The sequence below is a fragment of the Homo sapiens genome, chromosome 8 (assembly GCF_000001405.40).
Source record: "Homo sapiens chromosome 8, GRCh38.p14 Primary Assembly".
NCBI lineage: Eukaryota > Metazoa > Chordata > Mammalia > Primates > Hominidae > Homo > Homo sapiens.
Genome location: NC_000008.11, coordinates 117846577 through 117865318, shown reverse-complemented (window position 1 = coordinate 117865318; position 18742 = coordinate 117846577). Strand labels below are relative to the sequence as shown.

At 42.4% G+C, this 18742-nt stretch overlaps 1 protein-coding gene across 1 annotated transcript in view, besides 1 other annotated feature; it reads left to right on the top strand.

Moving 5' to 3' along the window:
• The window catches only part of EXT1 (exostosin glycosyltransferase 1), a 317337-nt gene that overhangs the window by 246508 nt on the left and 52087 nt on the right, over positions 1 to 18742 (top strand). The gene's annotated exons all lie outside the window — the stretch shown is intronic.
• Positions 2268 to 3382: an enhancer blocking element, noted in NCBI's record as "candidate insulator 8-1-1; CTCF association and DNase I hypersensitivity in multiple cell types". NCBI's record gives its function as "blocks activity of the beta-globin HS2 enhancer when located between the enhancer and the Agamma-globin gene promoter in a lentiviral reporter assay in K562 erythroleukemia cells {active_cell/tissue: K562}" and the evidence as "EXISTENCE:reporter gene assay evidence [ECO:0000049][PMID:24098520]".

Genomic DNA, 18742 nt, shown 5'->3' with positions numbered 1-18742 from the left:
GTGCAGACCTGTAGTCCCAGCTACTCAGGAGGCTGAGGTGCCAGGATTGCTTGAGACCGGGAGGTCAAGGCTGCAGTGAGCCATAATTGCACCACTGTACACCAGCCTGAGCGACAAAGCAAGACCCTGTCTCAAAAAAGTAAAGAAGATTTTATTTGGGTCTTCTGGCCTCTGTGAAAATCTAATAAGTGGGAAGTGAAATTTACAGAGGATTCAAGCAAAATCAACAAGTGTTTGTATGGAGTCAGTCAGCTCATCTCAAACACACCTGGCTCTGAGATGTTCATTTGGGTTTCTGTCATGGTAATTAATTTCTGATGCAAATAAATGAATACTAGTGTTATGAACTCTATTTTTTTAAAAAAAAACAGCTTCTACTTTTTTGAAAAATCTGTGTATCTTTGGAGAAGAGGAAGGAAGTAGGGATTATCTAGACCAAGCTTGTCCATCCCACAGCCCTTGTGCCACATGCAGACCAGAACAACTTTGAATGTGGCCCAACACAAATTCATAACTTTCCTGAAGCATTATGAGATTTTTTTTTTTTTTTGCGATTTTTTTTTTTTTTTTGAGGCAGAGTCTCGCTCTGTCGCCCAGGCTGGAGTGCAGTGGCGCTATCTGCGCTCACCGCAAGCTCCGCCTCCTGGGTTCACGCCATTCTCCTGCCTCAGCCTCCCAAGTAGCTGGGACTGCAGGCACACCCCACCATGCCCCGCTAATTTTTTGTATTTTTAGTAGAGACGGGGTTTCACCGTGTTAGCCAGGATGGTCTCGATCTCCTGACCTCGTGATCCGCCCGCCTCGGCCTCCCAAAGTGCTGGGATTACAGGCGTGAGCCACTGCTCCTGATCGCGATTTTTTTTTAAAGCTCATCAGCTATCATTAGTGTTAGTGTATTTTATGTGTGGCCCAAGACAATTCTTCTTCCATCCTGGCCCAGGAAAGCCAAAAGATTGGACACCCTGGTCTAGACTGTTCCCAAAAAAGGCAAGCAAAACTTAGTGACAGTGCTGTGTGTGTAAATCACTGGATAAGGTCAAGGATACTTTTAATTTAGGGAGAAAGAAAAGTGTGTAAACCTGTTCCTTAGTCTGGGAAAGAATGAAGTCTTTTTAAAAATTTTTCTGATTTTTGTGTTTTTGTTGTTGATTTGCAATATACGCTTTAAGAATTTTTTCTTAACATCTTTTTGCTGGGACCTATTTCTCAGCGTTGTTCTCTCCCTTTTGAGAGGACGGAGTAGGTATAGAATTGTCTTGCTAATATGTCAGTGCAGGAAAATTCCATACAACCTGTTGCCTATGGAAGAGATTGGAATGAATTGTAGCAGGTGACAGGTTAACTGGTAGCAGAAACCTTTTCTGCAACATGTAAACAACTTCATCCTTTTGAAAATCGGGTCCAGGTAGTAAAAGCTGGCAGTGATTTATGCTGACCGGGCTTAGAGCTCCTCATATGCATATATAAAATACCTCTGGGCTCTGCGGGGCTTCTTAAAGAACTACGTTAGTTCTGCTCCTTCCACCTTCTTCCTCACCCTGCGTTGCTGACATATCTGAAGTGCCCGCGAGAGGAAGGAGCAGGATGTGGAGCCATCTGGAGCCGGGCAGGGTAAGCACAGGACAAGCATCTGCTGGAAACTTTGCAGAGATATCTAGTGCGCTGATTTACTGTCCTTTGGGGAGTCCATGTACAGAACCCAGATTCATGAGGAAGCCGGCATCTGGCAAAGGTTGGGGTACACAATTGTGCTTGATTATCAGGACATATGATAAATCTGTCTAGGCGTGTACTCTGTGCCAGATTGTGGATTTCTTATTTGGCCCGCATCAGCCGTCTGCCAGCAAAGCAATACAAAAGTGTCACAACAACAAACAAACAACAAACATGCCAAAAAAAAAAAAAAACCTAGACTTAGCATAGTGATATCAAAATATACAGAGTCACCTTGAAATAAAACAGTGCTTCTGAGAATATAGAAGTGAAGAGCATGCACTTTGGAATCAGACCACTACCGTTCCAGTCTGGGTTCTAGTGCATAGTAGCTGTGTGTCTGGGGGCAAGTCACTTCACCTCTCTGTACTTGTTTTCTGCTCTGTAAAAAGAGGATGATACTAATAGTACTTGCCTTTTAGAGTTATTGTGAGAAATAAGTGAAGGTTATATAAGTAAAAAGTTTAAAATAGCATCTGGAAAATTAAGCACCATATAATTTTGTGTTTGTGTTTTCTGTGGAGTACATGAGTATGCATCAAAGCTAACAACGCCCACTGCCCTGTTAGTCAAATACCTTTGACCATATCACTTCCCTTCCTTCCTCTGCCAACACCTCCACCACTCCCACCCAGACTGGCTTAGTTTCCATTGTTCCTTGAGTGTGTCCAGAATGTTGCAACCTGGGGCTCTGCATACATGCTTTCCACTTCCCGAATTATTCTTCCCACAGCTCCCTTTAGGGAGCTGGCTTCTCCTCTGTCCTCAGCCCTCAGTTTCAATGTCACTTCTTCAGAGAGGGCATTTCTGAGCACCCCATCTTTACTGAGATGCCACTGTCCACCCATAAGCATTCTCACGCCCACCTGTTTAGTTCCCTGTCATGATTTGTAGCCACAGGTGACTGGCATTTGCAGGACTTCAGTGTCAGTAAGCCACAGTCTCCACGGACCACATCCCATTCCTGTCTAATTCCCCTTTGTAGATCTAACATCCAATTCCAGCAGTGCCTGGATGGAATGAGCACTCAGTAAACACTGGTCCCCAGTAAGAATAAGCGACTCACTGACTACTGAAGGAGGTGCTTTTATAGAGTGGATTCAATATATTTCTCCCTTCTGAGGTGGTCAACCCTGATTCCTCCTAATCCCACCAGTCTCCACCCGTTTTATTTACATTGTCATAGGAATGAAAGAGAAGTTAAGGAAATAATCAAATACTTCTTTTAGAGATGAGGTGCAGCCTCACCTTCTGCATTTGGCTATCTCTGTAACTCTTTGGTAGGGGGCTATAGAGCAGGAAGCAGGGCCTATTCTTTCCCACCTGGCTGGTTCAGTGAGGACGCTTGCCATGTGGATGTGCCCCATCTACTGGTTGAATTGCGTGGCTGCATTCTTAATGATTGTAATGCCCTGTCCATTCAGACTCTTTAACAGCAGCTGAGACTGTGCTAGAGTTTGTATCACACTTTATTATCCTGCTGGCAACAAAATTAACCATGAAGTGTGATTTGCTTACAGAGCGCATGATTGAGCATCTCTAGTGTCTAAATTTTCATCAGTGTCGTACAAATTCTTTTGTGTGGGTTTTGAAAGTTTGAAGCTGTAAAGTTTCACACTAATGTCCGTGGCTTAAAATTTATAGTTTAACATCAGTTTTCACCGTTTGGTTTGTCCCCTGTGTGCATTATGTTCACCAGATTTGCATCATTTAGGGATTACCTCTCTGCAAGATGTCTCAGAGATATGAGCACCACAACCATTTTTTGGTCTTCTCTTGAGGATCTGGGTTTTTAAGACAAAAACTTCAAGGCCGGGTGCAGTGGCTCACATCTCTAATCTCAGCACTCTGGGAGGCTGAGGTGGGTGGATCACTTAAGGTCAGGAGTTCAAGGCCAGCCTGGCCAGCATGGTAAAACCCCATCTCTACTAAAAAATACAAAAATTAGCTGGGTGTGGTGGCACGTATCTGTAATCCCAGCTACTCAGGAGGCTGAGGTGCAAGAAAAACTTGAACCTGGGAGGCAGAGGTTGCAGTGAGCCAAGATCATGCCACTGCCCTCCAGCCTGGGTGACAGAGCAAGACTCTATCTCAAAAAAAAAAAAAAAAAAAAAAAAGATAAAAACTTCAGGGAGCAAATGGCATTTCCATGCTCTCCTTTCATACATACCCCCCAAAATCGGGACTTAAATTGCCTCATAAAGCTCAATAAGTAAATTGGAGAAGATAGACTTTATTGGCTTACTTAAACATAATTATTTTAAAATAACAAACTAGTCCCTGTGTTGATAAATGTTTTATATCTTAGCTGCTATGTCTGAATGCCTTGTGTAAATTATGAATTAGCTAGTAAATGGACTTCGCAAAGGATGCTCAGTGGGGCCTGTCAGCCAAGGGCTAAGTGGATAGCCTTTCTGACATTCTACTGCTTTTTAGCTGTTGTGTTGGGGACGTAGATGTCTGTAGTCTCATTGTTAGGGCTGAAAGATATGTTTCCATGAGGACCCAGCAGAGTAATAGTTCCAGTGGGTAGATGAAGGCCAGATGATTTGGAAATAAGCTCAAAATGTCCTGTGTCGAGTTTGGATAATTTTATAGCCCACATAAAACATTTCATATTAAAGTCAAATCGTTCGTCCCTATTTGGACTAATGACAGCTGCTTATTTCGACTAAGAAAGCTGCTTCCAGCATCTGAGATGAGTTGTATCTGACCTTTAGCCCCTTTACCTGTAGACCAGGGGTTACTAACTCAGATGCCTACAGGGGCCAGGTAAGTGATGTAATAAATGAATCAAGCCAGCTCAGCTTCTGCTAATTTGCCGTGAGGGAGTACAGCAGGTCCAGTGCTGCCAAATCTTCCCATTTTTCATGAGATGCCTGAAATCCGGATTTTGGCATGAAATCTCATGATTTGAAAATGTTGGCAATTAATTTAAGAAAAATGTTTAGATTCAACAGGGACTAAACCAAATATATCTGCCAGAAGGATACTGCTTGTGATTCTCCAATTTGCAACCGCAGATAGTCCCTGGCAAAGATTATCTATGTAATAGATACTCTTTCCTTTACAAAGGACATACTGAATCACCAATTATTTGAAATAGATTTAGGGGGCACAAGTGCAGTTGTCTGACATGGACATACTGCATAGTGGCGAAGGCTGGGCTTTCAGTTTGCCCATCATCTGAATAGTGGACATTGTACCCAATAGGTAGATTTCTTCTTCTCTCATCCCCCTTCCACCCTCCCACCTTGAGGAGTCTCCAGTATGTGTTCTTTCACTCTGTATGTCCATGTGTACCCATTGTTGAGCTCCCACTTCTGAGTGAGAACATGCAGTTTTTGGCTTTCTCTTTCTGAGTCATTTCACTTAGAATAATGGCCTCCAGTTCCACCCATGTTGCTACAAAAGGCATGATTTCATTTTCTTTCATTTTTTTTTTTTTTTTTTTTTTTTGAGATAGAATCTTGCTCTGTTACCCAGGCTGGAGGGCAGTAGCGTGATCTCAGCTCACTGCAACCTCCGCCTCCCAGGTCCAAGCAATTCTCCTGCCTCAGCCTCCCGGGTAGCTGGGATTACAGGTGCCCACCACCATATCCGGCTAATTTTTGTATTTTTAGTAGAGTCAGGGTTGCACCATGTGGGCCAGGCTGTTCCCGAACTCCTGACCTCAGGTGATCTGCCCACCTCGGCCTCCCAAAGTGCTGGGATTACAGGCGTGAGCCACTGTGCCCAGCCTCATTTTCATTCTATGTGTGTGCATGGCTGAGTTAGTATCCCATGGTATATACATACATACCACCATTTATTTAATCCAATCATCCATTGATGGACACTTTTCATGTTGAAAAGATGTTAAATACTATGCATATGCATATAATCAAAATATATGTTCAGTAAAACCAAAAAGCTTCCAAAGTAACAAAATAGACAGTAATATCTCAGAAGAATAAGGTTACTGGACACATTTCATTGTTGAGTATTTTTCTTTTGGCTCTTGCTTTTGATAGAAAAACCCAGAAGCAATATATGTGTATACACCATGAATGTACATTCAGTTGGGTGTGTTATACCTTTAACTTGCACTACCCTACAAGGATTCACCTAACATATCCATCTAGAAGAATCCCCCTCATACCCATACCACACTTTCCAGATTTCCAAATCAGGAGTAGTGAGAAGATCATGAAACCATCTCTCAATTATTGTTTTCTTCTTTTAAAAATACATATATATTGTGTAGTTGCTGACTTATTCTTCCTCATTTTTATTCTACAGTCTCCACTTAGCCTCCCAAGGGGAAGGTTTTGAACTAGTGGCTGGGTTTTGTGCCTCTGTTTTTGAACACTAAGTTCTAAGACACACGTCAGAGATATTGTGTGTTTGGTTCCAGACCACGAAAATAAAACAAAGAGCACAATAAAGCAAATCACATGATTTTTTCTGGTTTTCCAGTACATATAAAAGTTATATTTACACTATATTGTAGTCTATTAGGTATGCAATAACATGTCTAAAAAAACCTCAATATATATACCTTAATTTAAAAATACTTTACTGCTAAAAAAGTACTTGTGATCATCTGAGCCTTTGGTGAGCCATAATCATTTTGCTGGTGAAGGGTCTTGCCTTGTTGATGGCTGCTGGCTGATCAAGTGGTGGTTGCTGAAAGTGAGGGTAGCTGTGGCAATTTCTTTCTTTCTTTCTTTCTTTCTTTCTTTCTTTCTTTCTTTCTTTCTTTCTTTCTTTCTTTCTTTCCTTCCTTCCTTCCTTCCTTCCTTCCTTCCTTCCTGCCTTGCCTTGCCTTGCCTTGCCTGCCTGCCTGCCTGCCTGCCTTCCTTCCTTCCTTCCTTCCTTCCTTCCTTCCTTCCTTCCTTCCTTCCTTCCTTCTTTCTTTTCTTTCTTTCTTTCTTCTTTTTTTTTTTGAGATGGAGTCCTGCCCTGTCACCCAGGCTGGAGCGCAATGGCACAATCTCAGCTCACTGCAACTTCCGCCTCCCAGGTTCAAGCCATTCTCCTGCCTCAGCCTCCAAGGTAGCTGGAACTACAGGCATAGGCCACCATGCCCAGATAATTTTCTTTTTTGTATTTTTAGTAGAGATGGGGTTTCACCATGCTGGCCAGGCTGATCTTGAACTCCTGACCTCAAATGATCTGCCTGCCTCAGCCTCCCAAAGTGCTGGGATTACAGGCGTGAGCCACTGTGCCTGGCTGACAGTTTCTTAAAATAACACAACAGTGGAGTTTGCCGCAACGATTGACTCTTCCTTTCATGAGAGACTTCTCTGTAGTCTTCATGAAAGAATCGTTTTCTCCATAGAGAATGCTGTTTGATAGCATTTTACCTACAGTAGATCTTCTTTCAAAGTTGGAGTCAATCCTCTCAACCCCTGCCACTGCTTTGTCAACTAAGTTTATGTAATATTCTAAGTCCTTTGTTATCATTCCAACAATGTTCAAAGCATCTTCATCAGGAGTAGATTCCATCTCAAGAAACCACTTTATTTGCTCATCCATAAGAAGCAATTCCTCATCCATTCAAGTTTTATAAGATTGCTGCAATTCAGTCACATCTTCAGGCTGCACTTCTAATTATAGATCTCTTGCTAGTTCTACCATATCTGCAGTGACTTCTTCTGAAGTCTTGAACTCCACAAAGTCATCTATGAAGGTTGGAATCAGCTTCTTCCAAACTCCTGTTAATGTTGATATTTTGACCTTCTCCCATGAATTATGAATGTTCTTTATGGCATCTAGAATGGTGAATCCTTTCTAAAAGATTTTCAATTGACTTTGCCCAGATCCATCAGAGGAATCACCATCTCTGTCAGCTATAGCCTTATAAAATGTATTTTTAAAATAACAATACTTGAAAGTTAAAATTACTTTGTTTTTTTGAGTCAGTTTTGTTCTGTTGCTCAAGCTGGCAAGCTGGAGTGCAGTGGTGCTGTCATAGCTCACTGTAACCACAAACTCCTGGTCTCAAGTGACCCTCCTGCCTCAGCTTCCTGAATATCTGGGACTACAGGGGCATGCTGCCATCTGGGACTTTTTTTTTTTTTTGGCGGGGGGAAGTCTTGCCGTGTTGCCCAAGCTGGTCTCGAACTCCTAGGCTCAAGCAATCCTCCTGCCATGGCCTTTCAAAGTGCTAGGATGATATAGGATTATAGGTGTGAGCCACCATGCCTAGTCTGGCTGAATTTTTTGATTATAGAGATGAGGTCTTGCTATGTTGCCCAGGTTGGTCTTGAACTCCTGGCCTCAAGCATTCCTCCCACTTTGGCCTCTCAAATTGCCAGGATTACAGGCATGAGCCACTGTGCCTGGCCCCAAAATTACTTCTTGATCTATGGGCTGCAGAGTGGGTGTTGTGTTAGCATGCATGAAAACAACATTAATCTTACACATCTCCATTAGAGCTCTTGGGTAACTAGGTGACTTGCCAACGAACGCAATATTTTAAAAGAAATTTTTCTTTCTAAGCCGTAGGTCTCAACGGTAGGCTTAAAATATTCAGTTAACCATGCTGTAAACAGATGTGCTGTCATCTAGGCTTTATTGTTCCATCTATTTATAGAGCACAGGCAGAGTAGATTTAGCTTTAAAGCTAAATATACAGCTTTTAAGTTAATTCTTAAGGGTCCTAGGATTTTTGGAGTGGTAAATGAGCATTGGCTTCAACTTCAAGTCACCAGCTGCATTAGCCTCTTAAAAGAGAGTCAGCCTGTCCTTCCAAACCTTTACACCAGTCATTGATTTCTGTTCCCTAGCTATGAAAGTCATAGAAGGCATCTTCTTCCAATCTAAGGCTATTTCATTTACGTTGCATGTCTGTTGTTTTGTAAAGCCACCTCATCAATGATCTTATGGATAACTTGCTGCAGCTTCTAGATCAGTACTTGCTGCTTCACCTTGCGCTATTATGATATGGAAATGGCTTCTTTTTTAAAGCCTCATGAGCCAACCTCTGCTAGGTTCAAACTTTTCTTCTGTAGCTTCCACATTTCTCTCTGTCATCATAAAATTGAAAAAGCCTTGGCCAGGCGCGGTGGCTCACGCCTGTAATCCCAACACTTTGGGCGGCCGAGGTGGGCGGATCATGAGGTCAGGAGATCGAGACCATCCTGGCTAACACGATGAAAACCCGTCTCTACTAAAAAAAAAAAAAAAAAAAAAAAAATTTAGCCAGGCGTGGTGGCTGGCGCCTGTAGTCCCAGCTACTCGGGAGGCTGAGGCAGGAGAATGGCATGAACCCGGGAGGCGGAACTTGCAGTGAGCAGAGATCACGCCACTGCACTCCAGCCTGGGCAACAGAGCGAGACTCCGTCCCCCCACAAAAAAAAAAAAAAAGAAAAAGCCTTACTCTGCTTTGGCTTAAGGGGAATGTTGTGGATGGTTTGCTCTTCTAGGCAGACCACTAAAACTTTTCCAAATCAGCAATAAAGCTGTTTCTCCCTCTTATCATTCATGTGTTCACTGGAGTAACACTTTTAACTTCCTTCAAGAACTTTTCCTTTGCATTCATGACTTGGCTGTTTGGCATGAGAGGCATAGCTTTCAACCTGTCATGCCTTTCAACATTCCTTCTTCACTAAGCTTAATCATCTCTAGCCTTGGATTTAAAGAGAGATGCGGCCGGGCATGGTGGCTTACGCCTGTAATCCCAGCACTTTGGGAGGCCGAGGCGGGTGGATCACCTGAGGTCGGGTGTTTGAGACCAGCCTGGCCAACATAGTGAAACCCTGTCTCTACTAAAAATACAAAAAATTAGCCAGGCATGGTGGTGAGCACCTGTAATCCCAACTACTCAGGAGGCTGAGGCAGGAGAATCGCTTGAACCTGGGAGGCGGAGGTTGCAGTGAGCCGAGATCGCACCATTGCCCTCCAGCCAGGGTGACAGTGTGAGACTCCGTCTCTAAATAAATAAATAAAGTGAGAGACGTGTGACTCTTCCTTTCACTTGCACACTTGTAGGCCATTGTAGGGTTATTAATTGGCCTAATTTCAATATTTTTGTGTCTCAGGGAACAAGGAGGCCCAAAGAGAGAGGGAGGGGAAATGGCTGGTTGGTAGCATAGTCAGAACACACACATTTTTCAAGTTCACCATCTTAATATGGGTGAGTTTTGTGACATCCCAAAACAATTACAGTAGTAACATATCAAAGAGCATTGATCACAAATCACCCTAACATACAATAACAATAAAAGTTTTGAAATATTATGAGAATTACCAAAATGTGATAGAGACAGGAATTGAGCACGTTGTTGGAAAAATGGTGCCGATAGACTTGCTTAGGGTTGCCATAGACCTTCAATTTGTTAAAAACAAAAACAAAAACTCAAGATCTGCAAAGTGCAATAAAGTGAAGCTAGGCCCATATTTACAACTAGCTGAGCAGACCTGCCACTTAGTTTGGTGTTTTAGGTTTGAGATGATTTCCGACAACTTTACATGTGCTTAGCATCCTATCAAAGCAGTGGGGAGAGAGGATATGACTGCTTTATCTTATCCAGAATGCAGCAATCAGAAAACCTATAAACAAGCCATTTTAATGTCAGCATAGCATACATATAAGTTCTGCATTTTAAGGTTTAGTAGTTCATTATTTGAATTACTCATTGCAATGGGCACCAAAATCTTTTCAGTGCTCATTGCTTTGAAAGATTTCATTTATACCTATTTCTCCATATGGCATCAAAACTGCTGGTAAAAAAAATGCAAGTGAAGTTCAGCAGCATCTACTTCAGATTCAGAGGGCTATGTTCAGGTTCTAGTTATGCTTCTCTGGCTATATAACTCTGGGCAAATTATCACATCTCTGTCAGCCTTGGTGTGCAGCTGTGAAATGGGACCATAGTATTAGTGTTACAGATTGTGACACTTAGGACGCAATACTGTATGTAATTAGCATAGTGTTCAGCGAATGAGTGTGCTCTCAACAGTGTGGCTGTTATATCATCATTATCATTGTTATTTCTACATGCTAAGGTATTATTTTATAAACATGTTTTATATTATTGGCAACAAGCCTTTCCTTTAACACTTACCAGCAGCTTTCTTTTTCTATGCAGGACTTTGATTTAAAGATGAAAAATGTATTTGGTGGTCTTTAAATATATATATGGTGTGTGTGTGTATGTGTGTGTGTGTGTTTTCTCCCCCTACTGCCCTCTCCAACTTTTTCTTCCAGTTTTTTTCTAAGAGATTAGCAGCCTTAAAGTTAGAGGTGGCAATGGTTTGGCCTGGTCTACCTTCACAATATGATCCTTACTTTGCTGCATCGGAGGTCCCTGGGTAGGTCCTGTAATCCCTAAATTAGTCTAGGAGGCAGATGGATGAAAATAGTGTCTTTGCTGGATGAAGCCCAGTTGTGGCTTTTCCTTTGTTCCCAGCTCCAATCCAAACTAATGCCTTAATAACTGAAATTCCCTTCTTTACCTCTCTTACCTTAACAACTATTAGAGTCAATGGGAAGGACTTGTCACCATAGCAGAAAGATGTCATCTTAGGGCTTCTCCTGGCCTGTAGGACCTCGGCCCAGGCCTCATAGCAGTGAGTACTTGAAGAAGGGCTGAGGCCAGCGCTCCTGGGCGTTCTTCCTGTGAGCAGCTTCCTCCCCTGAGTGTACCATCCCAGCAGAAGCTCACTGCTACTTCATCATAAGGCTGCCTCTTTCTGCAATTAAGTCATTTCAGTATTTTCTAACATGGTTTTCCTTCTTCGTAGAGATGCTCAATGTTAGGACAAAACACAGGCATTCAAACTGCTCATAGCATTTAGGGAGTTAGGGAATTTGGCTTTTAATTACCATCAAAATGTGATTATTTAGAGACTCAGCCCCATTTCTACAGAGCCTGTAGAATTTTGCGGCAATAGGAAAGGGGCTTATAAATAAGTGCTAAAAATGTGAGTTGCCAGGTTTCCAGGGAAGAGCAGATAAGATGAACTAGAACAACTTGAAGTATCTTTCATTAACTCTAATCAAGTTGTTAAGGCTCTTTTCTGATGCAGCTTTACTATCTGTAACGTGGGTCAATGTCCGTTGCCTTAGTTATTGCTTAGCAGGTATGTGGAATCTGGAATGCTCTGATATGATCAACATGTTTAACTGAATGAAAGTGTTTATCCATCCAGACACGTGATTCTCCTGCCTCAGCCTTCCGAGTAGCTGGAATTACAGGTGCACACCACCATACCTGGCTAATTTTTATATTTTTAGTAGAGAGGGGGTTTCACCATGTTGGCCAGGCCAGTCTTGAACTCCTGACCTCAAATGATCTGCCCTCCTCAGCCTCCCCAAGTGCTGGGATCACAGGCGTGAGACACCATGCCCGGCCTCAGACATCCAGTCTTTAATCATTTTTCCAGGCAGCATGGAGTCCTAACCTTTGTTTTGCAAACCATCCGATGGATTTAGTCTACATCACAGCAAAATATTTTTGACTTTTTGAGATGACTAATTATGGTACACATACTTCGTTTTCCCAAAAGTACTTTAAATTTCTTGATGACTTTTGCATCTACTGTCAGCACTGCTCAAAGCACTGCATTCTGAACCCCAGTCCTGCTGGACACTTAGCGCTTAGGTTTCAGCTTCGTCCCCACCCCCTGACTAGGTCAAGTTCCTCTACCATGTGTGCTCTCACAGAACCATGAGTCTCTCCTTGGAACTACTATAGCTGTTGATTTTATTATATGATTAATTATTTACTATCAGTCTCCCTACGCAAGACAGTGAATTCCATAATTCTGAATGGTAAAGGAACAGGATTTTTTATTTTGCCCACCATTGTATCCTGACAATAGAATGCCTGGTGCTTAGTGGGTACGTAATAAGTGCTATTGGTAAATGGATGGATGGATGAATGAATGGAATCTCATTGTCTCCTGCAGTATTTGTTTTATGTCTCTTCCCAATTTTGTCCATATGGGCTTAAAGACCTGCACACATAGTAGAGACTCCACAAGCTTATTAGGGAACTAAAATTCATGTTGTGGGTCTTGGCACCAAAGCCTCATGATGGATTGGGAAACTAAGAGTCATATAAAGTCTTAGGAAGAGGCCTTGAAGTTTCTATGTTCCATTGGTGGTCCTGGCTGAGATAAATATAGCAAATGAACAGGCATTTATTTCTCACCTGTTCTATCAAGTCCCCAAAACCTGGAAGTAGTGTGTGAGATGGGGCTGACCCTGGGAAAGATGTTATCTCTTATTCAGAGCCACATAAAAGCTCTCTCCCCATGTCAGGCACATCTTTGGTTAGAAGACATAAATTAGTCCCTTGCATTTCATAGTGGTTCTCATGGTGTCCCTCATGACAGAGCTCACTTAGCTAGCCAATGGGACATCTCCAAAAAGCATTATGGAAAGGAGGCAACGTGCAATTGTGTACAATAACTTGGGTCCTGAAGTCACAATGCCTCAGTTCAAATTATACCCACCTGCTTATTAAGTGAATTTAGACAAATTAGGTGTAATCCTCAATTTCCTCTTCTACAAAATGGGAGATATAATGCTACTTACTTCATAGGATTTTTGGAAGAGCAAATGGCCAAATGGACATAAAGTGCTTTGCAGAGAGTTGGGCATGTAATAAGTTCTCAATAAATGTTAGCTAGAGTTATTACCACCATTTTTATTCATTGAAGGAGTTTCATTGCAATCCCAAGCCAGTCCCTATGGATGCCCTTCCATTCCAACCCTTTTCAGACTATACTGGGGCCCATGTTGTCCCCTGCCCTTTCAGCCCACATGACTTTGGCCCAGGCTTTTACTACCAGGGCCCAAACACAGTGTCCAAGAATGGCACCAATTATACTGCATATTGCTGTATATTATTTTATCCAGCACTGTGAAGGCCAACCTGAACTGCCTGAAAAATCTTTGTCATTTAGTGGTTTAGGGTATGTGCACCCTCCATACAAATGCATTAAATAAATTAAATAATGGTGTGTGTGTGTGTGTGTGTGTGTGTGTGTGTGTCCAGCTAAATTGCACTGCTTTCTTAGATCATTTAAGCACACTTAATCTAATGGAACATGGTAGGATTTCAGCAGCTTCTGAATAGAAGTTGGAGAGAAAAAAAAAAATCCGAAACGTGGCACCAACTAAAACCCCCATGTAGTTATTTAAGGCAGCTTAAGCACTTCTGTGGAAACTGGGCTCCGTTGAAGAAATAGCCACTCCTCTTACAGAATGAAACCTCACTTTTTTTTTTTTTGTCTTTTTAAAAATTCTTCCTTGTATTTTTAGATTTTGGGTGAGAATGGGACTCTAAATCTATTTTCAAGCTTTCTTTTCCTTTCTCTGCTCACTCAGAATTATTCTTTTTATCTTGGTTCTGCCCCTGGTGATATCTTGGGTAAGTTACTTGACCTCTCCTGGCTGCTTTTTTTCATCTGGATATTTGGACTGGATGATCTTTGTGGTGCCTTCCAGCTGTTAACATTTGTTTGATTTTATGATTCCCTCCCTTGTTATTACAGAAAGCACAAGTGTTGTGCCTTAAGCATAAGATAGGAAAGTATCCCTTGATCAAGTTGAAACATCTCCACTTTCTAAGTTCCAGGACTCTTAGTTTGAGCTTAGAGAGTTACAGTTGTTTCCAGGCAGTTTTTTGTGCTAAGGGTGGTTTGGGTTTTATTTCTGTTTTTCTGTAGACCTTATTGGATATATGACCATTTGGTCTTGGTAGATAATATTGTGTCCTGACACACACCAATGGTCTACCCTTGGGGTGTTTTGGAAGCCTGCAGGCAGGGTCCTGAGGCTGCCTGAGTCACTGTTAATGAACCAAACTGCCTGAAATGCTCCAATGGTTGACTTTTGGCACTTGGCAGAAAAATCCTTTTCATGTTAGTTTCAAGGTTGTCAGATATCATTATCCCCAAGTATTAAAAATTTCAAAGAAAGGAGGCAGTGTGTTTGATTTATAGAATAGTTATCTAGCTTTAGCTCTGACTTGGCTTTGGAAATGGTTTTGCAAGCACTAGAAAATTAAATCCATTTTTTATGGCACTACAAGGTATTATCTCACAGCAAATGATAATTAAACACCTGTGAAATCAATTAGCCCTTTAAGCAGGGAAAAAAAGTTTTCCAATTATGTTTTCACACCTCCAAAACTTTTATAATTCCAAAACCAACACTTGTGGAGAGGGATATGGTCGACTGGCCGTTGCTGGGTTAACTTTCCATAAAGATTATCCCTAAATTTTGCTTAGCCTTAATCCTGAGGAAGGCAGTTTGTGATACCAGCATCCTTCCAAAGAGACTGCAATCGCCTTTAGAGCTGACTCTTAGCAGCTATCTATCTGACACACAGCGGAGCTGTCAACGACTCAACAAAGGAAGTTACTCACTTTGTGTTTTGATGCCAAGTTTTACTTGACAGTTTATTTAAAAGCCAAGATACCTTAATGGAAACCAAGCAACAAGAATTCCATGTGACAGAAATGCTGTCCCATTAAGGGCCCCGTAGCCAAGAGTTCTGAGCCATCTACATTACAAATTCATACTCTAAAAACAGACTGATTGGTTAATAGCTGAAACCCAATACAATGGAAAACTGGGACTCATGGCCAGCCATTCAGCCCCACAGTATCATGTGTGTTTAATCACCGGCTTTGGTAACAAATTAGCTATTCCAGATGCTTCTTTTGGAAAATGATCTATACTTCTGAAGCAGTAGATGGATTTTGGGTATATGCCATAATAATTTGGGACGCAAAGAAAAGGCAAAAGAAACATAACAATGCCAGGCCTTTGACATCTTCTGCATTTTACCTCATATGTACAAAAACTGTTCCAAGAAAATTTTTGGCCTCATCCTTTCTAATATTCATAAATGCTTTAGTTATTAATTTGTGCAGGGTTTCATTGTATCACTTTACATAAACATCTCTAAAGATGTTCTTTAAGAAATTTCTTCTGCAGACATTTTTATTGGGCTCTTGCTTTCATAGCAGATGGCATTTGGAGAACTTGACGAATCATACCATTAACTAGAGAGAGAAAGCTAGCGTCGTATAAAACAAAGATGAAAGAAAACTTCTCTATATCCTTTTAGAAACTTGTCATATGAATTATCCCTGCAAACATTGCCAGCAGTTCAGACACTTTATGACCTAGGCTTTATAAACCCATGAGGAATGGGGTGAGTGTTGAATAATCTGACATAGGTTCAACAAATATTTCCTAAAAGATTACTGTGGGCCAGGCATAGTACAGGGTCTGGGGTCACAGTGGTGAATAAGAACAGGAACACTCCCTTCTCTCATGCAGTATACATTACATTTGGGGAGAAAGAAGGTAAGCCAGTAAAACAAATACATGTGTGAATTCTGACCTTGGTAAATGCCAGGATGGAGATGAAACAGGGCAACAGAAAGAGAGTGCCAGGAGCACAGGTTGGTCTGTGCTGGCCTCTCTGAGAAGGGGCTATTTGAATGCTTATAGGCAGCTTGAGAGACATCCTGGAGAAGAATTCCAGGCAGAGGGCACAGCAAGTGCAAGTGCAAGAGATAGAAGTTAGCATTCTCTGTCAAGAAATTGAGAGCCGGACTTTGTAGCTGTAGATGGTGACTGAGGATGGGGCAGTCAGAGATGTGGGCAGAGGCCAGTTCTCATGGGACCCAGTCGGCCAAGGTGTAGGGCATGATTATTATTCTAAGTGCCAGGAGGAGCCACTGGAGGGTGTTCAGACTGGGGGGGTGACATTTGAAAGTTGTCTTTGGCTGCTCTATAGACTATGGACTGCAGGAAGATACGATTGAACTCATTCTGTTTAAAACTAGTAAGAACCAGAGTATGGTTTCTGTTGCTCTGTTCATGCACGCTTGAGCTGAAGGAGGAATGGGATTAAGGAGGTATAGGAAGAAGGGTGTGAGGAGACTCTGGCTGTCACTGAATTGCAAAATCCATGAATGGGCAGCTCCTGGAGTACTCTTGCTTCATGGCGTCCCAGTGCTCAGAGTGCTACCTGACATGTAGGGCCTGCTCAATACTCCTTTGTCCAGTGAGTAAATATCAGGGCATGAAGGCATCCTTTGGGCCATCTGGTCCACCTCTCCTCAATCCAGTGCTTAAATTTTCTTTCTGTCCCACAGCCTCTTTCCAGAATGAGAGTGCCAGGGAGCTAGCTGGCTCTGTCTGCTTCTCAAAGGAACTGTGGGAAGCATGGCCAGCTGGAGGAGGAGGAGGGAGAGGTGATTCAGCTCCACAGACCATCTTCCCCAGGGTACTGTTGTACTTCTGCCTAAGGAAATGGCAGAATCTAGACTTGTGGGCCTCTCTAATCCCTAAGGACTCAACCTTCATGCAAAGATATTCCTGTAAATCAATAATATGTGGCATCAAATCTTCAACCATAACCCAAATGTTATGTCCCATGGATACACCCATGTATCTCTACATTTATGCATTCACATACCCAGACGGGAAAGATTAAACTTTCCATAGACAACTAGCTTCATGCAGCGTTCATAGTAAGTTGGGTGTTCTAGAATTTTTTGTGAATGTGCTATATCAGCCTACACAGAGTTCTGAGGTCTTGTTTGTGTATTCGGTACCAAAGGCTCAGGAGTGAGGTGGCAGCCCTGACTGTCAAAGTCACAAGGCAGAGGCTAGTGATGCAACAGTGGGAGAGAAAATGGGAAGGTGAGGTTGGTGGCATCAGCTGACATTCCACAAACTGTCATTGGATTCTCAAGATATTTTATAACCACTTAAGTGCAGGGGCCAGACAAAAGGATTAAACACTGACAAGAATGCAGGTCACGGGACAGACTCTGCACAGTGCCTGCCCTGGGGGTGAGAACAGTAGGAATGCCAAACATCCTCCTAATCCGAGGCCTGATCCAGGCTGGCCTTGCTGGAAAGGATATCTTGGATCAAGAAGGGAAGTGGTCAGACATTGGTTCGAGCTCAGTTTTCTGTGCAGAGGGAGGGAGTCATTGCTTTTTGGACTGGTGCAGGGTTTGTCATTGCAGAAGCCATGAGGAGGTTCTACAGCTTTTTATTCTTCAGTTCAGACATGGAGGAAGGCCAGGAGAAGGTTCAGTTTGAACCGCACTGTGCATGCATTTAACTTGATTTACAAATAATGCTATTTGTCAGGGCTGGTGAAACACAAATTTTCTACCCTCATCAGCGTGCAGGGAGAAAATGACATTTTTAACAAGCTGCCAGACCTGTAGAAATAAAAACAGAGAAGGGATTTTAAAATGTACAAAAGGAAGACTAAATAAATAACACGATTTTTCATTCCCCAAGTAAATTGGGCTTGGTGTAAGCATAGGAATGAACTCATTCTTGGAAGAACCCAGCATAAATCAAGAGTTGGGCATGTGTTTGTTAAAGTGGACATTGTTGTAATGAAGGGCTTGCATCTTATCTTTGTTATCTTCTTGCTTCCATAGCCCCTGTACACTTTAATGCAAATTGGTGGACACTGAGCACCTTACATTCATTTAACAACTCTTTTTTTGAGTAGTTACAGTAGGCCGGCCCTTAAGGTAGTTGTTGGGTCAACAGAAAGTAGGACCAAGGTCCTGTGTCCCGGAATCCAGGGGAAGGAAATGAGAAAAATGGGCAACTTAATACAGAGTGAGCAATAGAGAGTTAGCACAGGGTTCCCAAACTCCAGGGATCAGGGAAGCCTTCCTCTAGGCAGCAGGAGTGGAAGTTAAGAAAAAGAAGGAAAGAGGGGCATGTAGGGAAGAAGTGCTCCCTCCACAGCCAGCCTCCTGGGACTCAGATTGTCCTAGGTGGGGAGCTGACACCCTTAGAACAGACACACTGCGCTGCCCACCCCTATCCTGGTCTTCTCGGGCTGCTGTCCATACTTCCTGGCTCCATTCCACTTAACCAGTCCCATTGGCTTAGAGCCTGGCGAAAGGTAGTTAATGGTAAGATAATGACCTCAGGCTTCCCCATCACCATTGGGCCTGTGTGTGACTCTTCTGGACCCATTTATCCATCTGAGTTCACTGTTGCTGCTGGCTCTTTTATTGTTAATCCCCT